This window comes from Homo sapiens, chromosome 10 (assembly GCF_000001405.40).
Source record: "Homo sapiens chromosome 10, GRCh38.p14 Primary Assembly".
In the NCBI taxonomy this organism is placed as follows: Eukaryota; Metazoa; Chordata; class Mammalia; order Primates; family Hominidae; genus Homo; species Homo sapiens.
The window spans coordinates 531,672-553,366 of NC_000010.11; the positions used below are offsets into that span (position 1 = coordinate 531,672).

Consider the following 21,695-nt stretch of genomic DNA (forward strand, 5'->3'; position numbering starts at 1 on the left):
GGAATTCTTGGCCTGTCCTGGGGTGTGGGGAAATCAGGATGCAAGCAGATATCATACGCTCTGCCGCGGGACCATGAAGTCTGTGGAACCTCAGAGGAACACGGACAAACAGCTGCCTCGACGGGTGCCCGTGTCAAGAACACAGACACGCTGGGAGGAGCAGCCAATGCAGGCAACGCTTGCAACTCCAGCACGCGGCAGCTTCCAGCTCCAGCACAACTACCATATTCTGTGGCAAAATTTTTAAAATAAGTTTTAACTAGTTATAACTCTAACTTTGTTTTATAGATAAACAGAGAACACAGGGTACCAACCGGCTCCAAAATACTTCGCCCAGAACCAAGTCTAGAATGCAGATGGCTGCTGTTCCAAGTATGACGAGTCCCCTTTAGTGCCATAAATCCTAGAAGTGACTGAGTGCTCCCTCCTAAACCAGAAAGCACCCTCTGTCCCCAGGCCAGTCCATCAGCCCCGGCAGAAGCTTCTAGAGTAAGAGCCTGTGGATTTGTATTGCATGGATGTAAACCCACCAAAGTCACAGGGGCTCATCCTGGAAGCCCATCCAGTTACCCACTCATGTCCCGGAAAGCCCTGCCCCCACCTCCACCCCCGCAGTCATGCTGAACCAGAACTGGCTTCTAAGGCCCTTAAGCCACTCCCTCTCTCCCCTGGACAGACCCTTCTCAAACCATGAGGCCCAGGGTAGCCTTAACAGGTGGTCCCAGCAAAACTGGCCGCTGCATTTTCTTGCTGGCAAATGAGTCAACATCTACCTTAGAGCAACCAAAACAGCATGTTTTTCCACTGAGAAGACCTCGTTTCTGTCCATTTAGAATTGGTATTTTGTGTGGGTGTGTGAGAGAGTATGGGTGTGAGAGAGTATGGGTGAGAGAGAGAGTATGGGTGTGAGAGAGAGTATGGGTGTGAGAGAGAGTATGGGTGTGAGAGAGAGTATGGGTGTGAGAGAGAGTATGGGTGTGAGAGAGAGTATGGGTGTGAGAGAGAGTATGGGTGTGAGAGAGTATGGGTGTGAGAGAGAGTATGGGTGTGAGAGAGAGTATGGGTGTGAGAGAGAGTATGGGTGTGTGAGAGAGTATGGGTGTGTGAGAGAGTATGGGTGTGTGGTGGCGGGGGTCCTTGTTCTGTCGCTCAGGCACAGTGCACCACAAGTACAGAGGTGCTATCACGGTTCAACTGCAGCCTCAACCTCCCAGGCTTGGGTGATCCTCCAGCCTCAGCCTCCCGAGTAGCTGGGACCGCACGTGCACACCACCACTCCTACTTAATTTTTTGTAGCATCAGGGTCTTTAGGTGCTGGGATTACAGGTGTGAGCCACTATGCCCAGCCTGGAATTGATATTTCTTAAACTATTACTGAGTTTCCCACATAAACCCCACTTACATAGATCCCAGCACACTCTCACAGCTCGAGGGTTTTCCTGAATCTCAATTCTGTCCATTCAAGGTCAGTATCTAAGAAAGTGTCAGAACTGACCCTCCCTCGACGAAGCCTAAGGTCAAATGCAGCAGCATCTCCGGTATGAGGAGAGAAAGAAAGAAGGGTGGAAAACACATTGAAATTCCCGTGTTAGAATCATCACCACCAACACTTTACGAGGCAATCTGCTTTCCAGAACATCTAGCTGCCGGATTAACTTCACAGCCACCAGATTCCACAGGCAGGTGCTCAGGGGGACACAGCTTTCTCAAGGCCGCACAGCCCGGGCACCATAACAGCCTCGGGGCAAACTAAACAAAGGCTTGTTTCTCTCAAGGACAAAGGTGCTCAAATCCTTCCAAATAGTTTATTCTTCTAAATAGGTTAGATGGCCTCCTACAACAGTTTAGAGTGCCAGTGTGTTCAGGAGTGTGAAGGGAAAACATCTCAGGACCCCAAAATTACTAAGCTAAAGGGAAAAGGTAGGGAACAGCTTAGGCAAACCTGCCTCCCCATGCTCTTCCTAACAGAGATACCTACCAAAAAAAAAAAAAAGCCACGTACCTCCCTCACAACTAGTCCACAGGGAAATTTCTCATGGACAGAGAACAGAACTCAAAGTCACCCCCTGCACACGGAGATAAATGCGTATCTGCTTAGTGACGGGCACCTACTCAACCCTCCTGAGGCCGTGTCACAGATGTGTCCTCAACCCTCCTGAGGCCGTCTTGAACCGTGGGAAAATGAACTTTCTAAATGGGCTGAGAACTGTCTCAGAGACACTTCTGGTTTACAGGAAGCATTCTCTCCTGCAGGTATAATAATGAAATCACATGGAATTATAAAATGCCACTTTAGTAAAGGCTGAAGGAATTAGGGTTTGACATGCTTTAAAAAAAAAAAAAGAGGAACGTTCTATTTATCAATGGACCATGAAGCCCACGCCCCCTTCTGCAGTGACGATGGTCAACTGGGACGAGGAGCCCCTCCTGCGGATGCAGCAGAGGCCGCCCCCTGACCCCACTTCCCAGAGTCCATGCTTCTGCTGCTCAGGTAACAGCAACCCTAGCTTCACAGGGCTCAGGCCTCCAAACACAACTCCCACCCATGCTGGAGAATCACCCCGGGGACGTGCGAAACGGGGAGGTGCAACTCTCACTTCATCCCCTTAAAGGGGAAAAGGCGCCTTCCCACTCCTCTTCCTGCTGGTGGGGACAGAGGCAGGAGCCAGATGGTCAGGAGTTGGGCGGCAGGAGGGAAGCAGCCTGGGTCCCTGCTAGTCACAGATGGCAAATGCCAACCAGCCCCGACCTTCATCTTATAGTGAAGAAATCCTTCTCTTTTTGTCAGGTCCCTGTTAGAAAGAAGTTAGCGCACATTCCTTTAAAAAAAGATACAACATCGGTGTTTTGCTGATTGACAATATTTCAATTATCTGGGGGCCTTGGGTCAAATGACGCCAACACAGGAAACTGAACCCTGTTATTCAGGAAACTACCTTCCAGCCCCATCTACCCTCCCAGGCTGTCATCTTACAGTGTTTGTCTGCTGGATGATTATTATTTTTTTTTTTTTTTTGAGACGGAGTCTCGCTCTGTCGCCCAGGCCGGACTGCGGACTGCAGTGGCGCAATCTCGGCTCACTGCAAGCTCCGCTTCCCGGGTTCACGCCATTCTCCTGCCTCAGCCTCCCGAGTAGCTGGGACTACAGGCGCCTGCCACCGCGCCCGGCTAATTTTTTGTATTTTTAGTAGAGACGGGGTTTCACCTTGTTAGCCAGGATGGTCTCGATCTCCTGACCTCATGATCCACCCGCCTCGGCCTCCCAAAGTGCTGGGATTACAGGCGTGAGCCACCGCGCCCGGCCTGGATGATTATTTTTAACAATAGGTACTCTTAAGAGCTCGGTGTACACAACAGACAAGAAGTCAGCCTGGGTTGAGGGGAGGCAGGAACTGACCCCTCTCTCCCTGCAGGATGGTACAGAAGGAACCTTCAGCACCCGGGTTTGCAGGATGCTGGATCAGAGCATCTCTCACATCTCAAGTACAGCCAGACCCTCCTCTACCGCAGCCTGTTCAGGAGAAGGTGGCACCTGCCCTAGAGACCCACAGCCCTAGGCGTGGGCTGAGCTGGAGCTGAACTTTCCTCCCTTGGTAAGAGTCAGGGCCAGGGGTGGGGAGAGGAGACAAGCAGCAGGCGAGAGGGGCGCTGTGGAAACTCCATGCTGTGCTAACTCTCATCTGACATGCTCCGGCCAAAGCCACGCTTCTCGGGGGGCATTTCCCTTCACACATCTGGAAATCATCCACGTCTAGTACTCCCCACAGAACAGATCCTTCCCCAGGAGGCAGACACTTGGCTGTAATCTTTGGTAATGAGGGGCATGCCTTTGTACCCATTCTGTAGTGTTTCCTGTTACCTATTTTACCTTAAGCTAAAAATGGTTCCCATTTACACTCTGCAGTGACACAGCGAAACACACGAGATTCAGTGTGATCCCACACTCGTCACTGCTGACCTCAAGTTCTTTATTTGTCCATTTATATTACCATCTTTTCTCAAGATGCAATGTTACAGTCTGATCATAAAAACTGTATGTGGGCTATGGCAGTCATACACCTGCACTCAAATCTTTTATGTCAAATATGTAAAGGGAGCCTATAGGTTTGGTTCAAAGAATTATTGGTGTTAACTCCAGGAAATACGACACCTTGGGTCACATTTGCTCTTGCAGTGTACTCTGAGAATTAGGTCAAAATAATTATTATAAACATATACACATACTTATATGTATGCAAATGCCACATTTTCAACATTTCTCTCCCATTGCTCCCGTAAGCTTCCATCCTGAGGCACACTTCGGGTGCAAAGAGTATTTTCAGATGGATGGTACGTCAGCTCCCCTGGGTTTCCATAACAAATGTCCCAGATTGGGCAGCTTCAACAATATAAATTGATTCTCTCCCAGTCTGGGAGCCAGAAGTCCACAATCAAGGTGTGGGCAGGGCCGAGCTCCCACCGCAGGCTCCAAGTGGGATCCTTGCTACCTCCTCCAGCATGTGCGCTCAGGCGTCCCTCAGCTTGAAACCACATCACGCCCATCTCTGCCTCTGCCTTCACACAGCCCTTTTCTCTGTGTCTCAAATTTCCCTTTCCTCTCCAAGGACACCAGCCATTGGGACGTAGGACCCACCCTATATCCAGGATATCTCCTGAGAGCATGGTATCTATCTGCAAAGACCCTGTTCCCCATAGGGACATCACAGTCCCGGGGGCTAGAGTTGTATCTATCTGCAAAGACCCTGTTCCCCATAGGGACGTCACAGTCCCGGGGGCTAGAGTTGTATCTATCTGCAAAGACCCTGTTCCCCATAGGGACATCACAGTCCCAGGGGGGCCAGCGTTGTATCTATCTGCAAAGACCTGCTCCCAACAGGGACACCACAGTCCTGGGGGCTAGGACTGGGACATAAGTTTGGGAGGACACAATTTAATACCAGGAGCCGGACAGACAGTGAATGTGATTCAGAATTCGTTCATGGGACTGACTCCCAGTGCTCTGTGGAGGGGGGGCCATCCTGAGAGGTGCTAAGACAAAGACAGTGAGTGCTGTTTTTGGAAGCCTAAGCTATGACTCGGTTTTAACTGATTAAACCTTCTTTCCAGCAAACAGCTTCCACGTGAACAGAAGAGTGTGTGGGAAATCCAAAGGGAAAAGGCAGTCATCTGAAACCATCTTCTTGACCCCCCAGTTCTGTGTTCTACTTGAGTATCTCAAAGTTAACACACGCCAGTTCTTTATTCTGTTTTTCCCAGAACTTATCATCCCTGCCGTGACACCACCACCCATTTTGTAGTCATAGAAGATGAACAAAAGAAGGTGGGCATCAGTCATGAGGCTGGCTGTGTCCTGCATCTCACCCCAGGCTCTCCTCACTGCACCCTGTCAGGCAGCCTGAAGGGACTCACCCAGGTCCCAGGTGAAGTCTGATTCCCTCTGTGGGGGAAGAAGTGAGGGTGGAGTGAGTTTGACAACCTGACCACCCAGAGGCAAGGCCGTATGAAGGAGGGCGTGGGATCTTGGCCCCTGTGACAACCTCACCACACAGAGGCAAGGCCGTATGAAGGAGGCAGTGGGATCTAGAGCCCTGCACAGCTCCCCAGACCTGACCTGGACCAGAATCTCTGTGATTTCGGGGTAAATGACTCAAACAGAGCAAGTGCACTCTCTCCACTGAAAGGATTCTTATTTAAAACTGTTTCTAAAATACCCATCGTTAACTAATAAGGATCACCCTGGCGCAGACTCCGGTTCCTTTCAATTCGCCTCTTTTCTTCCCACAAGTAGCCCTCTAATGCCCAAGGAAGCTCAGACAACACAAGTAACTACGACCTGGCTCCAGCATCTGCCCCCCACACATTTGTCCCCAGGGCACCCAGCATCCTGCCCCCCGTCCCCCTCCCCCGCACACTTGTGCCCAGGGCACCCAGGACACGGGTATCACCCATGTTTCAGCCAGGCTTGTGTTTCCCCCATTAACATGACAACAGGAGAGGGATGAGGGAAGACACGAGACACAGGCTGGTAAGTCAACTCTAGGTGGTGCAAACCCATTGCTCTGGCAATAAGCAAAGCTCTTGGGGTCTCCCTAAATATCGAGCAGTTATCTTTCGTCTGCGAATTTTTTTTTTTCCCCCGAGACCGAGTCTCGCTCTGTAGTGCAGGCTGGAGTGCAGTGGCGATCTCGGCTCACTGCAGCCTCCACCTCCCAAGTTCAGGCGATTCTCCTGCCTCAGCCTCCCAAGCAGCCTGGATTACAGGCACGCGCCACCATGCCTGGCTATTTTTTGTATTTTTGGTAGAGACAGGGTTTCTCCATGTTGGCCAATCTGGTCTTGAACTCCTGGCCTCAAGCGATCTGCTGCCTCGGCCTCCCAAAAGTGCTGGGATAACAGCCACGAGCCACCGTGCCTGGCTGTGAATGTATTTTAAATTTTTAAGCTTTTTGTTTCTAGACTCTGTATCCTCTGTGGATAACAAATGCTTCCCGAGGAGTTTTCTTTGGGACAGGGTCTTGCTCTGTCACCCAGGCTGGCATGCAGTGGCACAATGATAGCTCACACCAGCCTAAAACTCTGGGCTTCAGAGATCCTTCCACCTCCCACTCCCAAGTAGCTAGGACTACAGGTGTGCACCACCACACTCGGCTAGTTCTTTTTTGTAGAGATGGGATCTTGCTATCTGGTTGCCTAGCCTGGTCTCAAACTCCTGGCCTCAAGGTATCCTTCAGCCTTGGCCTTCCAAAGCCCTAGAACTATAGGCATGAGGCATGAGCCATTGTGCCCAGTCTCCTGAAGATTTTCATCATAAACAGGTGCCACAATCCTGGACTCTTCCAGTCCGGACCGTACAGGGGCTAGGGTGAGAGAGGGATGGTTCAGGGTCTCAACGTGGAAATGATGGGGCCTGCCTGTGCTCTCAGATCTAAGTCAATGTTGTCAGCCTCTGGGTTTCAGTGTTTTGGGTTTTTGTTGTTGTTCTCTAGCCAAACTTAAGAACCTCACAAATAAGTCTAAGAACCTCAAATTACCCAGGAAGGGATATAAACATTCTAAGGTTCTTATTGAAAACGTTTCTTTTTAACAAAAGATAACTGTACCTATTAATACTATCACAATTCTAAATTATATCAAAAAAATTGTAAGCACTGGGTAATATGACTTTGAAAAATGTGCTCACTAGCAAAAAGCAGCACATAATTTAAATGTACATGACTACTAAGAACTTTTTCTGTGTTCATGAATCTGCTATATGAACCTCAGTTGTGAGTTGTCTGTTCATGTCATTCCGTGTGTTCTGTGAATCTGCTGTATGACCTCAGTTGCGAGTTGTCTGTTCACGTCATTCCATGAGTTTTGTGAATCTGTTCTACGAGCTCAGTTGTCTGTTCACGTCATTCCGTGCGTTTTGTGAATCTGCTATATGACCTCAGTTGCGAGTTGTCTGTTCACATCATTCTGTGGGTTTACTGAATTCCTATGGCATTTCTCATCAATTAAGCAAACCTTTCATAGAGTGCTCATATTAATCCTTTAATCTTTGCTGTATTCGATTCTTAAATATTTATTTTGCTTCTAGAGTTTGTACTCTATCCTGGGGTTCCAGGCCTGTGGATTCAACCAACTATAGATCAAGAATATTTTTTTAATGTGTTTGTACTAAGCATTCAGACTTTATTATTCATTAAACAATATAGTTTAACAACTATTCACATGGCAAGTACATGGTATAGGTGTTATGAGCAATCTTGACATGACTGAAAGTCTACAGGAGGATGTGCATATGTCATATGCAAACACTATGCCATTTTATTCCAGGGACCTGAGTGCCCACAGACCTTGGTATCCATAGGCAGTCCTGCAACCCACCCCCATGGGCACTGTGGAATGGCTATAATAGAAAATATAGAGGTTTTAAAAAGTTATGTACTAAATCTAATCTTTTGTTAAGAAATTACTGTGTGTCACGTGTATTATTTGGAAGTCGTTCCTGGTCCAGAGACTTGACATGTTCTTATCTTTTTGTCCACTGATCTAACTAGTCATTCCAGTAAGTTTATTGAACACAAATCAATTTTACAATTAAATTCTTAAAGGAATCACACTCATACTGTAAGCTGCTTTGGTTTTTAAAGTGAAATAACAGTTTTCAAAAACAGCTATATCATAGAATAACAGGATAAAGCAGACCTACAATATGCAAAAACATGGGATTTCAACGCTAACCAGTATAAAACACATTACAAACCCCTAAATATGAAAATGTTTGACACCACAGATATTCCAGAAAAAAACAAGATGATCAAAAAAGCCATTTGCAGAAAGCCACTTTCCCCTTCACTTTTCACATGGTTTCTAGAAACTTGTGTTTGGCAATAACCATGAATCAGAAGCAGCATCCACTGCAACTACTGCTACTGCAACACAGAATATTAAAGCAAAATAAAAAGGACACAGCATATTTCCTATTTATGAGAACAGGTAGAGTGTTATAAAAATGATGTGCGTGTTTTAAAGTCAACAATGTTCAAATTCTAGGTCTCCCGCAGACACTAGACGGTAACCGCCAAAGCTTATGTACTTGGAAACTTTCAAGGAGACCAAGTTCAGAGCTGTCACAACGCAGCACCATCCTCACACAATTATCTCAGGTGTGTTTGAGGGCAAGTGCCCCCGTCACAGGGGGAAAGCTGCCCGGCCCAGCACTTCCTGAGATCACACAGAGCTTCCACCTTCCCACATCTTCAATAGTTCCTTTACACTGGGAACCAGAGAGCAAAACCTAAAACACTTCCTCAAATCTCAAGACAGTCTTGAGTCCTCTTCTCCTTGCCCCTTCTCTCACTGAAAAAGCCTATTCTATAAGCAATCTGTAGTGCTTACCAGAGCTGGGGTAGGAGGAAAGCTAGTGTTTGGTAGACCAAGTTTCAAGCTTGGGGAGACCAAGAATATGGCGGTGATCGTGGCATGACAGTGTGAACGCACTTAATGCCACCAAATCGTACACTTAAAAATGGTCACAGTGCTATGTAATTTTACCACAATAAAAAGACTAACTGAGAAAAGTAATCTCTAATTACTGTCTGCCATTTCTTGCATCCTGTAAGGTGCATTTGCTTTTGGAAATCCTCAGAGCAATCATGAAAGACTAATACCCTGTCATCTCTGAAACACAGGTAAAGTCTTTCAAGGGTTTTGATTATAGTAAAGTAGCTGGAAAGCAAAGCATGCATTAGACACAGCAGCCGTGATAGGACAAACACATGGTAGGAAGGTGGTGGTCGTGCTACACGCAGATGGGGAAGGATGTGGGGAGCCACAACACCCGATGCTGGGGAGCCACAACACCCGATGCTGGGGAGCCACAACACCCGATGCTGGGGAGCCACAACACCCGATGCTGGGGAGCCACAACACCCGATGCTGGGGAGCCACAACACCCGATGCTGGGGAGCCACAACACCCGATGCTTGGGAGGCACCTGGGCAGGAGCTGAGAATGTACCAAACACGTTCTACCACGCAACATTCATGGACCCTGAGTCCGGCCACCACCGCCGACATCCACTCTGGCTGAGGTGTCCTCTGTCACAGACACACACACCCTGCCGAGGACAGTGCACAGGTTAAATGTCAAAGCACAGACATGCTCAGGTCCAGCTGCTCAGCCAAAAGCAAAAACACATTTCCCAGACACCACAGCTTGACCTTCCACCTGACCACACCCATCTCTCCTGCACCCCACATCGTGACCCTCCACCCGACCACACCCGTCTCTCCTGGACCCCCCCGAGTGACCCTCCACCCCCATATCTCTCCTGGATCCCACAGCATGACCCTCCACACTGACCACACCCATCTCTCCTCGACCCCACAGTGTGACCCTCCACCTGAACACCCCCATCTCTCCTGGATCCCACAGCGTGACCCTCCACATGACCACACCCATCTCTCCTGGACCCCACAGCGTGACCCTCCACCCGACCACACCCGTCTCTCCTGGAACCCCAAGAGTGACCCTCCACCTGACCACCCCCATCTCTCCTGGATCCCACAGCATGACCCTCCACACTGACCACACCCATCTCTCCTGGACCCCACAGCGTGACCCTTCACCTGACCACACCTGTCTCTCCTAGACCCCACAGCATGACCCTCCACCTGACTGCACCCTGTCTAGTGCATCCCTGCACCTGTCTCTCGGCCCCCCTCACCTCACTTCCTCACCTTCTCGTCGGGTCAAGCACCAACAATCCGCTGTGTGCCTGGTGCACTGAGCCTTGTCAGGGGCCTCTGGGCCGCGTGCCAGGACACGCCCCTGGGGACTCCCAGTGCACACGTTGGTCTCCTGCACACTTGGCTCTTCTATCTGCGGGAGCCGGCACCCACCCCTACAACTGACTGCACTCTCAGAAAAGTCCCAGAAGACCCCTCACCAACCCAGCAACACCTTGAGGCCACATCCCACTTGCCTGCTGGCTCCTGAACCTCCCCCACCCTGTGACGGCTCACTCCCTCCTGAGCTCCTTCTGCTCCCTGCCTGCCTCTGCGAGTTACCTCCTGGGCGATGCCAGGTGACGGTAACATCAACCAGGAGGCACTGCTGAGAAGCAGAAAGCATGGTGCAGTGCCCAGAACGTCATGTCCCTCAACAGATGCTCTATGTCTTCTCCTCCTCTCCTGGCAGAGCTTTGCTGTAGGAAGAAGGCCATTCCTCCAGTGCTGCTACTTCCAACACTGGGGAAAACAAGCTTCAGAAAGGAACGGTGTCAAAGAGGCAGGACCCACCAGCAGGACTGCCAGCGGCCAGACGACCACAGCCCCAGCATTCCCCAGCCACTACGGCCGACAGCCCAGGCTCCAGAAATGCACAGCTTCAACCTTCAGAGTAAAAACCCTCCCAAGCCAACTATTTCTTCAACAATCGGATTGGGGAATGGAGGGTTCTAACCCTGCCCCTCTCTATACCACAGATCATCAGATCCCAGTTCTTATCAGATTGGGAAGTGGGGGGTTCTGACCCTGTCCCTCTCTATACCACAGGTCATCAGATCCCAGTTCTTATCGGATTGGGGAGTGGGGGGTTCTGACCTTGTCCCTCTCTATACCACAGGTCACCAGATCCCAGTTCTTATCAGATTGGGGAGTGGGGGGTTCTGACCCTCCCCCCTTCTCTATACCACAGATCATCAGATCCCAGTTCTTACGGGATTGGGGAGTGGGGGGTTCTGACCCTGCCTCTCTATATACCACAGATCATCAGATTCTAGTTCTTTTCTAAGCCCAGCACTTTGCTTCTGCCACATGCAGTCATCCTCAGCACCAGGAAAAGTCAAACATTGAGTGATGACGATGACACCAATACCAAAAGTCAGAAACATTGAGTGATGATGATGACACCGATACCAACACATGCGGCTCTGGCAGCTTTGGTAACTCGCTGCACAGATACAACTGGACAGCAGTGAGATCCATGGACATCACCAGTCTTCGCAAGGATCGTGTTCCTGAATCTTCTGCGTTAGGAATAACCGTCTCCTTTGCAAGGGCTGAACCATGCTTCCCACTCGCCTGTCCTCTGCCTTCACCAGCTTTGTGCGCATTTCCGGGCAAGTGTCTGTGCAGGTGCCATCACTGATTTCAGTAGCGAGAACGTACACAGACACCACACAGAAATGGGTAACCCTGTTAGGAGCTGTGCAGGGAGATCTAACTCATCAGATGTGCCAAATTCCTGTTGCCATGGAAATTAAACTGACGTTGCCGTGACCACATCTCTTACTGCACCACTAAAGACCATCTGGGTAAGAGGAAAGTGCTTCTGCAGAGCATTCAGCTCACGTTTACATGTCCGTTTTCCCTGAATACGGTTGTTACGTGAGATAGAAATCAGTAAGATAGGCTGTAACATATAGTATGGATCGTTGTGTCTCCTAGGCTCAAACACATCCTTTAAGATCCTCAGAAAATGAAGTTTAACTCTCTGGGGACATGAGTTACATAGTAACATGTTTTGGATACAGTCTCTTTCGCATTCTAAATATCAACACCAAATAAGTTCTTTAGTTTCTTTTTACATTGAAAAGCATTTACAAACCATAAAATCCCCCATATTAAAGGGTACAATTCAGTCTTTTTAGCATATTCTCAAAGCTGCACAACAATCACCACTAGTATTTAATTCTGGGACTTTTTCACCACCCGCAAAAGAAACCTTGAATCCATTAAGAGTCAGCACCTGCTGCTTCCTTCCGCCAGCCCCTGGCAATCGCCAGCCGACTTCTGTTTCTCTGGATTTGCCCACTCTGGACGCCTGTCGTGAGTGGGCACATAGTGCGTGACCTTTGACGTGACCTTTGGTGCCAGCATCTTTCACGTTCAAGGTGACTGGTATCGTACAGTGCGTGACCTTTAGCATGACCTTTGGTACTGCCATCTTTCACATTCAAGGTGAGTGGAATCGCACAGTGCGTGACCTTTGGTGTGACCTTTGGTGCCGGCATCTTTCCCGTTCAAGGTGAGTGGAATTGCACAGTGCTTGACCTTTGGTGTGACCTTTGGTGCTGGCATCTTTCACATTCAAGGCTCATTGGAGCACATGTTCTTTTGTTCCTTTTTACGGCTGAGTGATACTCCATTGTGTGCAAATTTTCTTTATCCACTCATCTGTTGACAGACATCTGGGCTGTTTCTACTCACTGTTACGAATAATGCTGCTATGAAGATTCTTGCATAAGATTTTTTTGTAAAAACGTTTTCAGTTTTCTTGGGCATATGCCTGGGAGTGAAATTGCTGGGTCGTACAGTGATTTTATGCTTAACTTTTCTGAGGAACTGCCAGACTTTTCCAAAGCAACTGTACCATTTTCCTTCCCCTCCCACTAGCAATATATACAGATTCCAATTTTCCCATCTTCACCAACATGTCACCGTCCAGTACTGGGGTTTTACCCATCCCAGTGGTTGTGAAGTGGTATCTCACGGTGGTTTTCATTTTCATTTCTAAGATGACTAATTCTGTTAAATATCTCATGTGCTTTTTAAGGCATTTATGTATCTTTCTTTGGAGAATGTCTATTCAAATCCTTTGTCCATTTTTAAATTGGATTTTCTTTTCATTGCTGAGTAAGTTTTTAAAGATATTCTTGATATCAGGCCCTTATTGGGATAATGTGTCTTGTTCTGTGGGTTGTGTCTTTTTACTTTAATAGTAACCTCTGAAATGAACATTTTTAATTTTGATACTGTCTTTTCCCCTTCAGTTGCTTGTTATGCTTTAGACATCTCATCTAAGGAACCATTGCTTAATTCAACGTAACAGTTTCACCTGGATTCTCCCCTAAGGGTGTAATGAGCTGAACTGTGTCCCCGCAAGATTCCCATGTTAAAGCCACAACCCCTAGAAACTCAAAATGTCACAGGGCCTTTAACGTGACAATTTAGGTCCCATAAGATCTTAAGAGTAGGCCCTGATCCAACATGACTGGTGTTTTCCCTTTTTTTTTTTTTTTTTTTTTTTGAGTTTCACTCTCTCTGTCCAGGCTGGAGTGTAGTGGCATGACCTCAGCTCACTGCAACCTCCGCCTCCCAGGTTCAAGCAATTCTCCTGCCTCAGCCTCCTGGGCAGCTGGGACTACAGGCACCTGCCACAACGCCCAGGTAATTTTTGTAGTTTTAGTAGAGATGAGGTTTCACTGCTGATCTGTAACTCCTGACCTCAGGTGATCCACCCACCTCGGCCTCCCAAAATGCTGGGATTACAGGTGTGAGCCACCACGCCCAGCCATGACTGGTGTTCTTATAATAGAGAATTTAGACACACAGAGTCCTCAGTGCTGCACACACATAAGAGAAACCCATGAGGACACAGAGAAGACGCCGTCTACACAGAATGGGGTGAGGACCCGGAGGATCGAACCCTGCCTGCACCTTGACCCCAGGCTTCCAGCCTCCAGAACAAAGGAAATAAGATGCTGTTTAAGCCTCACAGTCTGCGGTGTCTGTTACGGTACCCAGCAGACTGACAAAATGGGTCTCACAGTATCGACTCTTACACTGGATCCATTTTGAGCTATTTTTTTGTGTAGGGTGAGGGAGGGTGCAGTCCATCCTTTTCCATGTGGATATCCAGTTGTCCCAGCACCACTAAGTTGCGAAAGGAAAAAAGTAAAGCAACCCCTTACAACCTTTCTCCATCAACAGATTAGAAGGTACACTGAAGAATCATGGACAATTTGTTGTCGGTTTAAGCCGGTGGTTTTCAAACTTTTGGGTCTCAGGAACCCTTTACAGTTTATTAAAGATCACAAAAAGCTTTCTCATGAGGCCGGGCATGGTGGGCTTATGCCTGTAATCCCACCCAGCACTTTGGGAGGCCAAGGCAGATGGGTCACTTGAAGTCAGGAGTTCCAGACCGGCCTGACCAACATGGTGAAACCCCATCTCTACTAAAATAATAAAAATTATCCGGGCTTGGTGGTGGGTGCCTGTAGTCCCAGCTACCTGGGAGGCTGAGGCAGGAGAATCACTTGAACCCGGGAAGCAGAGGTTGAAGTGAGCCGAGGTCACGCCACTACACTCCAGCCTGGGTGACAGAGCAAGACTCTTAAAAAAAAAAAAAAAAAGTAACAAATTTATTTTAAAATAATAAAGTCATTACATGTTAATAAACAGCACAGTCTTAAAGAAAAAACCATTTTCCAAAATAAGCAGCAGTGTGGCAACAGTTTGTGCTGCTGTGAGAACACCTAACGCCTCTCTGCACCTCGGACAGCAGGGTTCTCATGCCTCCATCTGCGTTCAGTGGGCTGCAGAACTCTGGTTGAAGTTTATGAAAAATGTCTGATCCCATGCTATATACAGTTAGGAAGAAGTATTTTTCACTGTGCTTTCACATAGTTTTAGGTATTCTCTGCTGCCAAATGTCACAAGCGGCACTTCCATGCAGGCTGTCTGCAACGCAGAGTCTGGACCCTGGTCGACGGGCCTTTCTGCCCCAATTCCTTTTAAGCGGACTGGTCTGTCCTGCACTTGAGTGGCTCTTTTACCAGCACACGATTTTGTAACTGGTTAGAAAACACTGGTTCAGAGTTATGAGCAGCTTCCACATTTCATTATGTCAAAAAAAAAAATCACATCAATATCACCACTGATCACATGAGAAAGTGGCAGACACAAGATTTGTATATTTTAATATTCACTGGAAAGCTCCAATGGCTATCATTGGGAATAACGTAAGGTATTTTCCTTGAGATGAAAGAATCAATTTGTTCATTTTTCAGGCCACACCTGCAAATACCTATCTCTTAAGTGGCAGAGTTTGTAAGTCATTCTTTAGATAAAGAAGGCCATTAGTGGAAGAAGCGGTTCTGCAGGTTCATGGGAGAGCACTTGGTGCCTCTGAGCTAAGATAACCATCAAATCCTCGGAAGACGCACCTCTGCATACTTCCTGTTTCTCATTCAGAACATTCCAGAGGGAACCCGGAATCCCGGTGCTGCAGCGGGACTGAAGTTTGCTCTCACCCACACAATAAACCCAGGGAGCTCCCCCAGCCCCCATCGCGAGGCCACAGCCTTGGTCCTCTGATCCAGGAGGGCTCCTGCAGCTCCAGCCTACAGGGAGAAGCATGCACCCACACATCAGAAAGCCCTCCCAGGCCCAGCGAGCACTTCTGCTTATGTGCCAGCCAAGTGTGTGTAACAGGGCCACAGCCAGCTGTGAGGCAGGCAGTGAGGTACCCAGCAAATACTCAGGGCTCACATCACTGAGAAGGAAGGAAGGTTGACAGCGAAGTACCCAGCAAATACTCAGGCCTCATGTTACAGAGGAGGAAAGCAGGCAGACAGTGAGGTACCCAGCAGGGTTCACATTATCCAGGAGGAAGGGAGGGTGGAGAAAAAGGGGCTGGAACAGTCTCTGTCATGAGCTTTAGCATTTACAAGGCTTGCTGAAGATTATCCGATTTGATCTTCACAATAGCTCACAAGATAGGCAGAGGCATGACTTTTCAGAGATCCAGAGAACTGATGATGACCACGTGCTTTTCCCACAGGCTCCCAGAAATCATCCTCAAATCATCTCTCAGTTTATACATGTGATAAAATCTCAGTCACGTCCCCTCTCTGCAGGGGGATTTTAACGCTGCCCTGCTGTTCCATCGCACCCCTGCCCTCTCCTGCATTTCATCCATGCCCACCATCCCTGGGGAGCCCACACCACCCCACCCGCAGCTGCTGATGGCTTGGGTCACCCTTATCTCTCATTTCCACCTGCAGGGACCTGTTCTGCCTTCAAATGCAGCTCAAACCCACTCATTGTGTGAAGCCTTTTTCAGCCATCACAACTGTCACATGTAAAAGCAGTCTGCAATGCTTCATTTAGGAGGTGCTTGTGTTGCCTCATTGGCTGTGATCAGGACCAAATTCTGAGCAAACCAGGTGGTGTGGTGGTCCCCTGTCCCCACCTCTGCCCCAGTGCACCTAAAACAAGGATTCCTGGAAGCACCTTTTCAGTCCAATTCACACGAGTCTGCCCCACCCCCCCCCCCACAGGAAAGCCCTGGTGGTCAGGGCTCAGGGCCCCCAGGTGGGTAAGGAGAGCTTGGTGCCCTCTCTGGAGTTGTCGCCCAGAGACCTACGGCTGGAAGGGAAGAAACTTGCATCCTGTGAAACATCCAGCCCCGAGACCCACTCAGGAGCAGAAGACGGGAAAAGAGCATCGAACAGCCCCTCGGGAGGGCAGTCAGCAGGAGCCGCGGAGGCCACCGGGATGGAGGGAGGGAGGGAGGGAGGGAGGCAGGCAGGCAGGCAGTGAGGCCAGAGGTGATGTGGCCAGGAGGGAGGGAGGGAGGCAGGCAGGCAGGCAGGCAGGCAGCGAGGACAGAGGTGATGTGGCCGGGAGGGAGGTGATGTGGCCAGAGGTGACGTGGCAAGGGTTATGGGGGTGACATGGTGTGGTGGGGGGAGGAGATGTGGCCAGAGGTGATGTGGCCGGGGGAGGAGACATGGCTGGAGGGAAGCGACAAGAGGGGTCTCCAGGCCTCAGACTGTGGAGCTTTCACGCTCGCACAACCTCACAGACTGTGCCTGATTTATGGATGACATTTTAATTAAGATGTTACATCTAACTTTAAAGAAAAGTAGTTATTTAGAACCATTGTGTATGTTTAAAGCACGGTACAAATATAGCACATTTCCCAAACCAAAGAACAGTGCATTGCAGGAAAAAATAGCAGCTCACAAAAAAAAAAAAAAAAAAAAAAAAAAAGTGAGTAAAGAAAAAATTCATTTAAGATCAGAAATAAAGATCCTACAGCTCTTCTAGTCCAATCCCCCACCCTAACGTGAATGGGGGAAAAAGCCAAGTAGATTCTAGTTAGTCAGAATTAAAGGCAAAACCGATCCACTTTACTTTCTACTTGACAGAAAACAAGCAGCTCATCAAGGAATCCCTACAAATAGTAGCTTTAAGAGTCCCCAAAATGCAAAATTCACGTTCAAATTCAATCAACTGCTAAGTGCGATAAAGTTACTTTTTCATTATTGCTTCCCTCATCCCCAGGGGCCTTTTTAGACCTTTTTTCCCCAATTGCCTCCAACACCCAGGAAATTTAAACCCCACAAGTAAGCTATGTCTCAATTAACACACAGCACCCTTTGGAGCAGACAGTCCATTGCTCTAAGACGTCCTTGTCACCTAAGCACCAAGTACAGCCTGAGAAGATACAACGCGTCCACACACGGACTCGGGCCCATCCACAAGCCAACAGGTGAGATGTGGCACATGAGAAGGAAGACGAGACCAATGAGCTTCACCAACACCCCAAAACCACGCAGAAGTGACCCATACAGCCTGCTTGGGCGCCAGTGACTCCTGGGAAACAGCCAAGGGCGGCATTTGGAGAAGCAGCACCACAGGCCAGGAGGGTCTGGTGGCTTCAGAGGGGAGGGGTGCCCCCGACCAGGTGCCGGGGGCTTCAGAGCGGAGGGCCCCCCCCGACCAGGTGCTGGAGGCAGCGGGACAAGCCATGGGTGCCCTCGTCACTTTTCACTCCCTACTCCCGATTCTTGCCCTGAAAGCTCGCAGCAAGTCCAGGTATTTATTTACCCATAAAATTAAGTATCTGTGAGTAACACTAGTCACTAATTCACATAGATCTGAGTCCACAGATACCTCTAGAGACACCACCATCCCTTCTGGTAGAAGGGCAGCCCAGGGGCCCACACTGCTAGGAAGGGAGACTGTGTCTCCAGCCTGACAATGCAGAGTCCCCAACACAAGGTCTACCTTCTGGAACCATGCGGTGTCCTACAGAAGCAACAAGGGACGTGTAGCTTTTTTTTTTTTTTTTTTCTCTTAAGACAGTCTCCCTCTGTCGCCCAGGCTGGAGTGCAGTATCACAATCTCAGCTTGCTGCAATCTCTGCCTCTCGGGTTCAAGTAATTCTCCTGCCTTGGCATCCTGAGTAGCTGGGATTACAGGTGCCTGTCACCATGCCCAGCTAATTTTTGTACTTTTAGTAGAGACAGGATTTCACCATGTTGGCCAGGCTGGTCTCGAACTCCTGACCTCACGTGATCCACCCGCCTTGACCTCCCAAACTGCTGGGAATACAGGTATGAGCCACAGTGCCCGGCCCATGTAGCTATTTAAATTTGTCTAAAATTAAATAAAATTAGAAGTATCAGTTTCTCATTTGCACTTCAAGCATTCAATTACCCACAGGTGGCCACTGACCACAGAGGCTGGTAGAGAGACGCTGCAGTTCCACACCGCAGAAGGATCTATGGACAAAGTGGCTCTAAGATCATCTCGGCATCTTTATATTGAAGCTACTGAAGTTTTACTCTGTTTACTATAGATATCAACATTCTCCCATTTAAAAATGTCAGTGCTATTACAACAATCAGATCTGTGACCTCCCAGAAGCTCTTCTCCTCCTGGACAAATAACCGCAGAGCGTCTGCACTCTGCCTTCACACTAAGGGATGGCAGAAGCCTCCTGTAAAATCAGGTGGAGAAAAAAAAATGAATCCCTAGCCCCTCTCCCCCTACGATTTTGTGAAACTCCTCTTAATATTCAGAATAATTGCCAGAGTTGCAATAAACAAGCATCCCTTGACCAGGAAGCAACAGGGAAGCAAGAAGAGGGATGCTCCATTCCCTCTGGGACCCCAGGCCTGGCCGGGACTGAGAAGGTCAGCACAGCCAGTCAGGCCTGCACACCCGATGCGAACCGTGCACATGGCTTCCCCGGGCCTCGGTCTCCCCTCTGCCCTCACTGGACACTGTGGCTCTGGTACATACCTGATGCGAACTGTGCACACGGCTTCCCCGGGCCTCGATTTCCCCCTCTGCCCTCACTGGACACTGTGGCTCTGGTACATACCTGATGCAAACCATGCACACGGCTTCCCCGGGCCTCGGTCCTCCCTCTGCCCTCACTAGACACTGTGGCTCTGGTAGAGGCAGCCTCTGAGCTCCAACACCCACAGCCAGTCCCCTCCTTGCAGGTCTCGGCTCTGCTGACACTGCCTCAAGCGCCTCCCTGATGCTTCTCAACATCGTCCACGTACCATGCCCCCTCCTCCCCACAGCCCTGGCTGCCGCCCACCCCGCCATGGAGCCTGGCATACAGCAGGTGCCTGAGACACCCCAAGGGGCAGGCATGCCAGGGTAGGGCTTGGAGTTCCAAAGGCCACGTCCCGCTTACCACAGGTGCCACGGAGGCTGTGGAAGGGGTCCAGGCTGCAGGTCTGCACTCGGCTTCTCCTGGCCCCCGAGGCCAATAACCTAGCAAGGGAAAGCAGCTGGAAGCAGGATCCCAAAAGCCCTTCCTGGCTCAAGAGGAAGGAGGCCTCGGTGCACAAACCCACAAGTGCCTTCCCTCCTGCCAGGCTGGCTGTGTCACAGCAGCATGTCCATCTTCCCTGGGCTCAGAGAAAGGTGAGGGACTCAGCCCCGAGTGTGAACAGTCAAGCTCCCACTAGCTGTGCAGACAATCTCCCTAGCCCTGGCTTGGGAAGGGTCCAAGAGCAAACACAGCCATCTTGCCCACACAGGTACAGAATTCAGCCAGCTCTCTCAATGGAGTTGTGACAGGTCAACTCCAGGCTCCTCAGAGCCAGGCTCTGGGGTTCAACCTCGGGCCACTGCACCTTTGAAATGCGGCTGTGGACTCCCCTAGGCCGCTCAATGTCACGGCCCATTTCGTTCAGATGCTGCAGGCCCCTGCCGTGGTGTCACACCCAGGACACCCCTGCCAGCATCCTCTGAGACGCTGCTATAGCTGTTGTGATCTGAGAACAGCCACATGCAGGCATCAAAGGGAGGGCTTCTCAAGTCTCTTCTGAGAGTGGTGGCTACAGCTTCGGAAGACGTTGCACTGAATCCTGGGTGAGCCAGACTCAGTCTGCAATCTAAGCTGGGTTGCTGGAGAGACACACTCTGTTGTAACTGACGGAGGCTGTCGATGGCAGCTCTACCAAGACCAAGAATGGCAACTAATCTGAGATTTACTATCCATACTTTCTACCTGATGTTTAAAAGGAAAGCATCGTGAAGTTCCAGTAGCAAGACATTTTCTATAATCTATCATATCAAGATACAGCAGAGATGTAGCTAAAATGTTAATAGGGTCTATGCAGAGGAACAGATCGGTCTATTTCAGGAACGGTGCTTGCTGGCTTTTTAGAAACAGAGTGAAGTCCCTGCCAAGTAAAAGGTTGTTTATACTTTTGCTTTGGAAACAGAGAGGGAAATTTCTTCCTTATTATTCGAATACATTAACTATATTTAAGTGTTCTCATAGACTAAGTATTAAATATTCAAAAATAAGTAATTCTGTTCAGTCTATTTCATTCCTCAAATGTAGCTTTCAAAAAGTGACAAACACCTGGCCGGGTGCAGTGGTTCACGCCTGTAATCCCAGCACTTTGGGAGGCCGAGGCGGGCGGATCACGAGGTCAGGAGATCTAGACCATCCTGGCTAACACGGTGAAACCCCGTCTCTAGTAAAAATACAAAAAATTAGCCAGGTGTGGTGGTGGCACCTGTAATTCCAGCTACTCGGGAGGCTGAGGCAGGAGAACAGTGTGAACCGGGGAGGCGGAGCTTGCACTGAGCCAAAATCATGTCACTGCACTCCAGCCTGGGCGCCAGAGCAAGACTCCATCTCAAAAAAAAGTGACGAACACCCCATGTCTGCCCTGGCTCCCGCCATCTCCACGGAGTGGACAGAGCTTGGGAAAAGCTCATTGTGGAGGCCCAGAAGGCCGAGCCTTTGCTCAGCAGATGAGGGAGGGGATCAGCCACCCTAGGGAAGAAGCCAGTATTTCCTATTTTACTGAGGATATCCACATAAATTTCTATTTTGCCTCCCACACAGACCTGGGATCCATGTTTCACCAAGAGGCTCGTGCCAACAGACCCTCCATGCCACTGTTTTCCTGACCTCCCTAAGAAGAGCCAGGCCAGGCAGCATCCCCACATGGGCACTGGGGCCCAGGAAGAGCTGGGTCCTGCCCCTCTTCTCCCTCGTCCCTGCACCTGGCTTGCTGTGCAAGCCCAGCAGTGCTGGCTGAATTCATGTTCACCTGGGGCATTCAGAAAAAGCCTCTGCAGAAATCAGCTGGGAAGCAGGGCTGCGTGTGTGGCGCCTGGTCACTCAAGAAGGATTTGCAGAATTGAGTTTTC

At 49.4% G+C, this 21,695-nt stretch overlaps 1 protein-coding gene across 5 annotated transcripts in view, besides 2 other annotated features; it reads right to left on the minus strand.

Annotated features, from left to right (window-relative positions):
- Positions 1-21,695, minus strand: part of DIP2C (disco interacting protein 2 homolog C) — a 415,468-nt gene that overhangs the window by 257,471 nt on the left and 136,302 nt on the right. The window lies entirely within an intron of this gene.
- Positions 1,515-2,016: an enhancer, noted in NCBI's record as "NANOG hESC enhancer chr10:579126-579627 (GRCh37/hg19 assembly coordinates)". NCBI's record gives its function as "activates a minimal SCP1, AML or CMV promoter by ChIP-STARR-seq in naive H9 embryonic stem cells {active_cell/tissue: H9 hESC(naive)}" and the evidence as "EXISTENCE:reporter gene assay evidence [ECO:0000049][PMID:30033119]".
- Positions 10,069-10,569: an enhancer, noted in NCBI's record as "H3K4me1 hESC enhancer chr10:587680-588180 (GRCh37/hg19 assembly coordinates)". NCBI's record gives its function as "activates a minimal SCP1, AML or CMV promoter by ChIP-STARR-seq in naive H9 embryonic stem cells {active_cell/tissue: H9 hESC(naive)}" and the evidence as "EXISTENCE:reporter gene assay evidence [ECO:0000049][PMID:30033119]".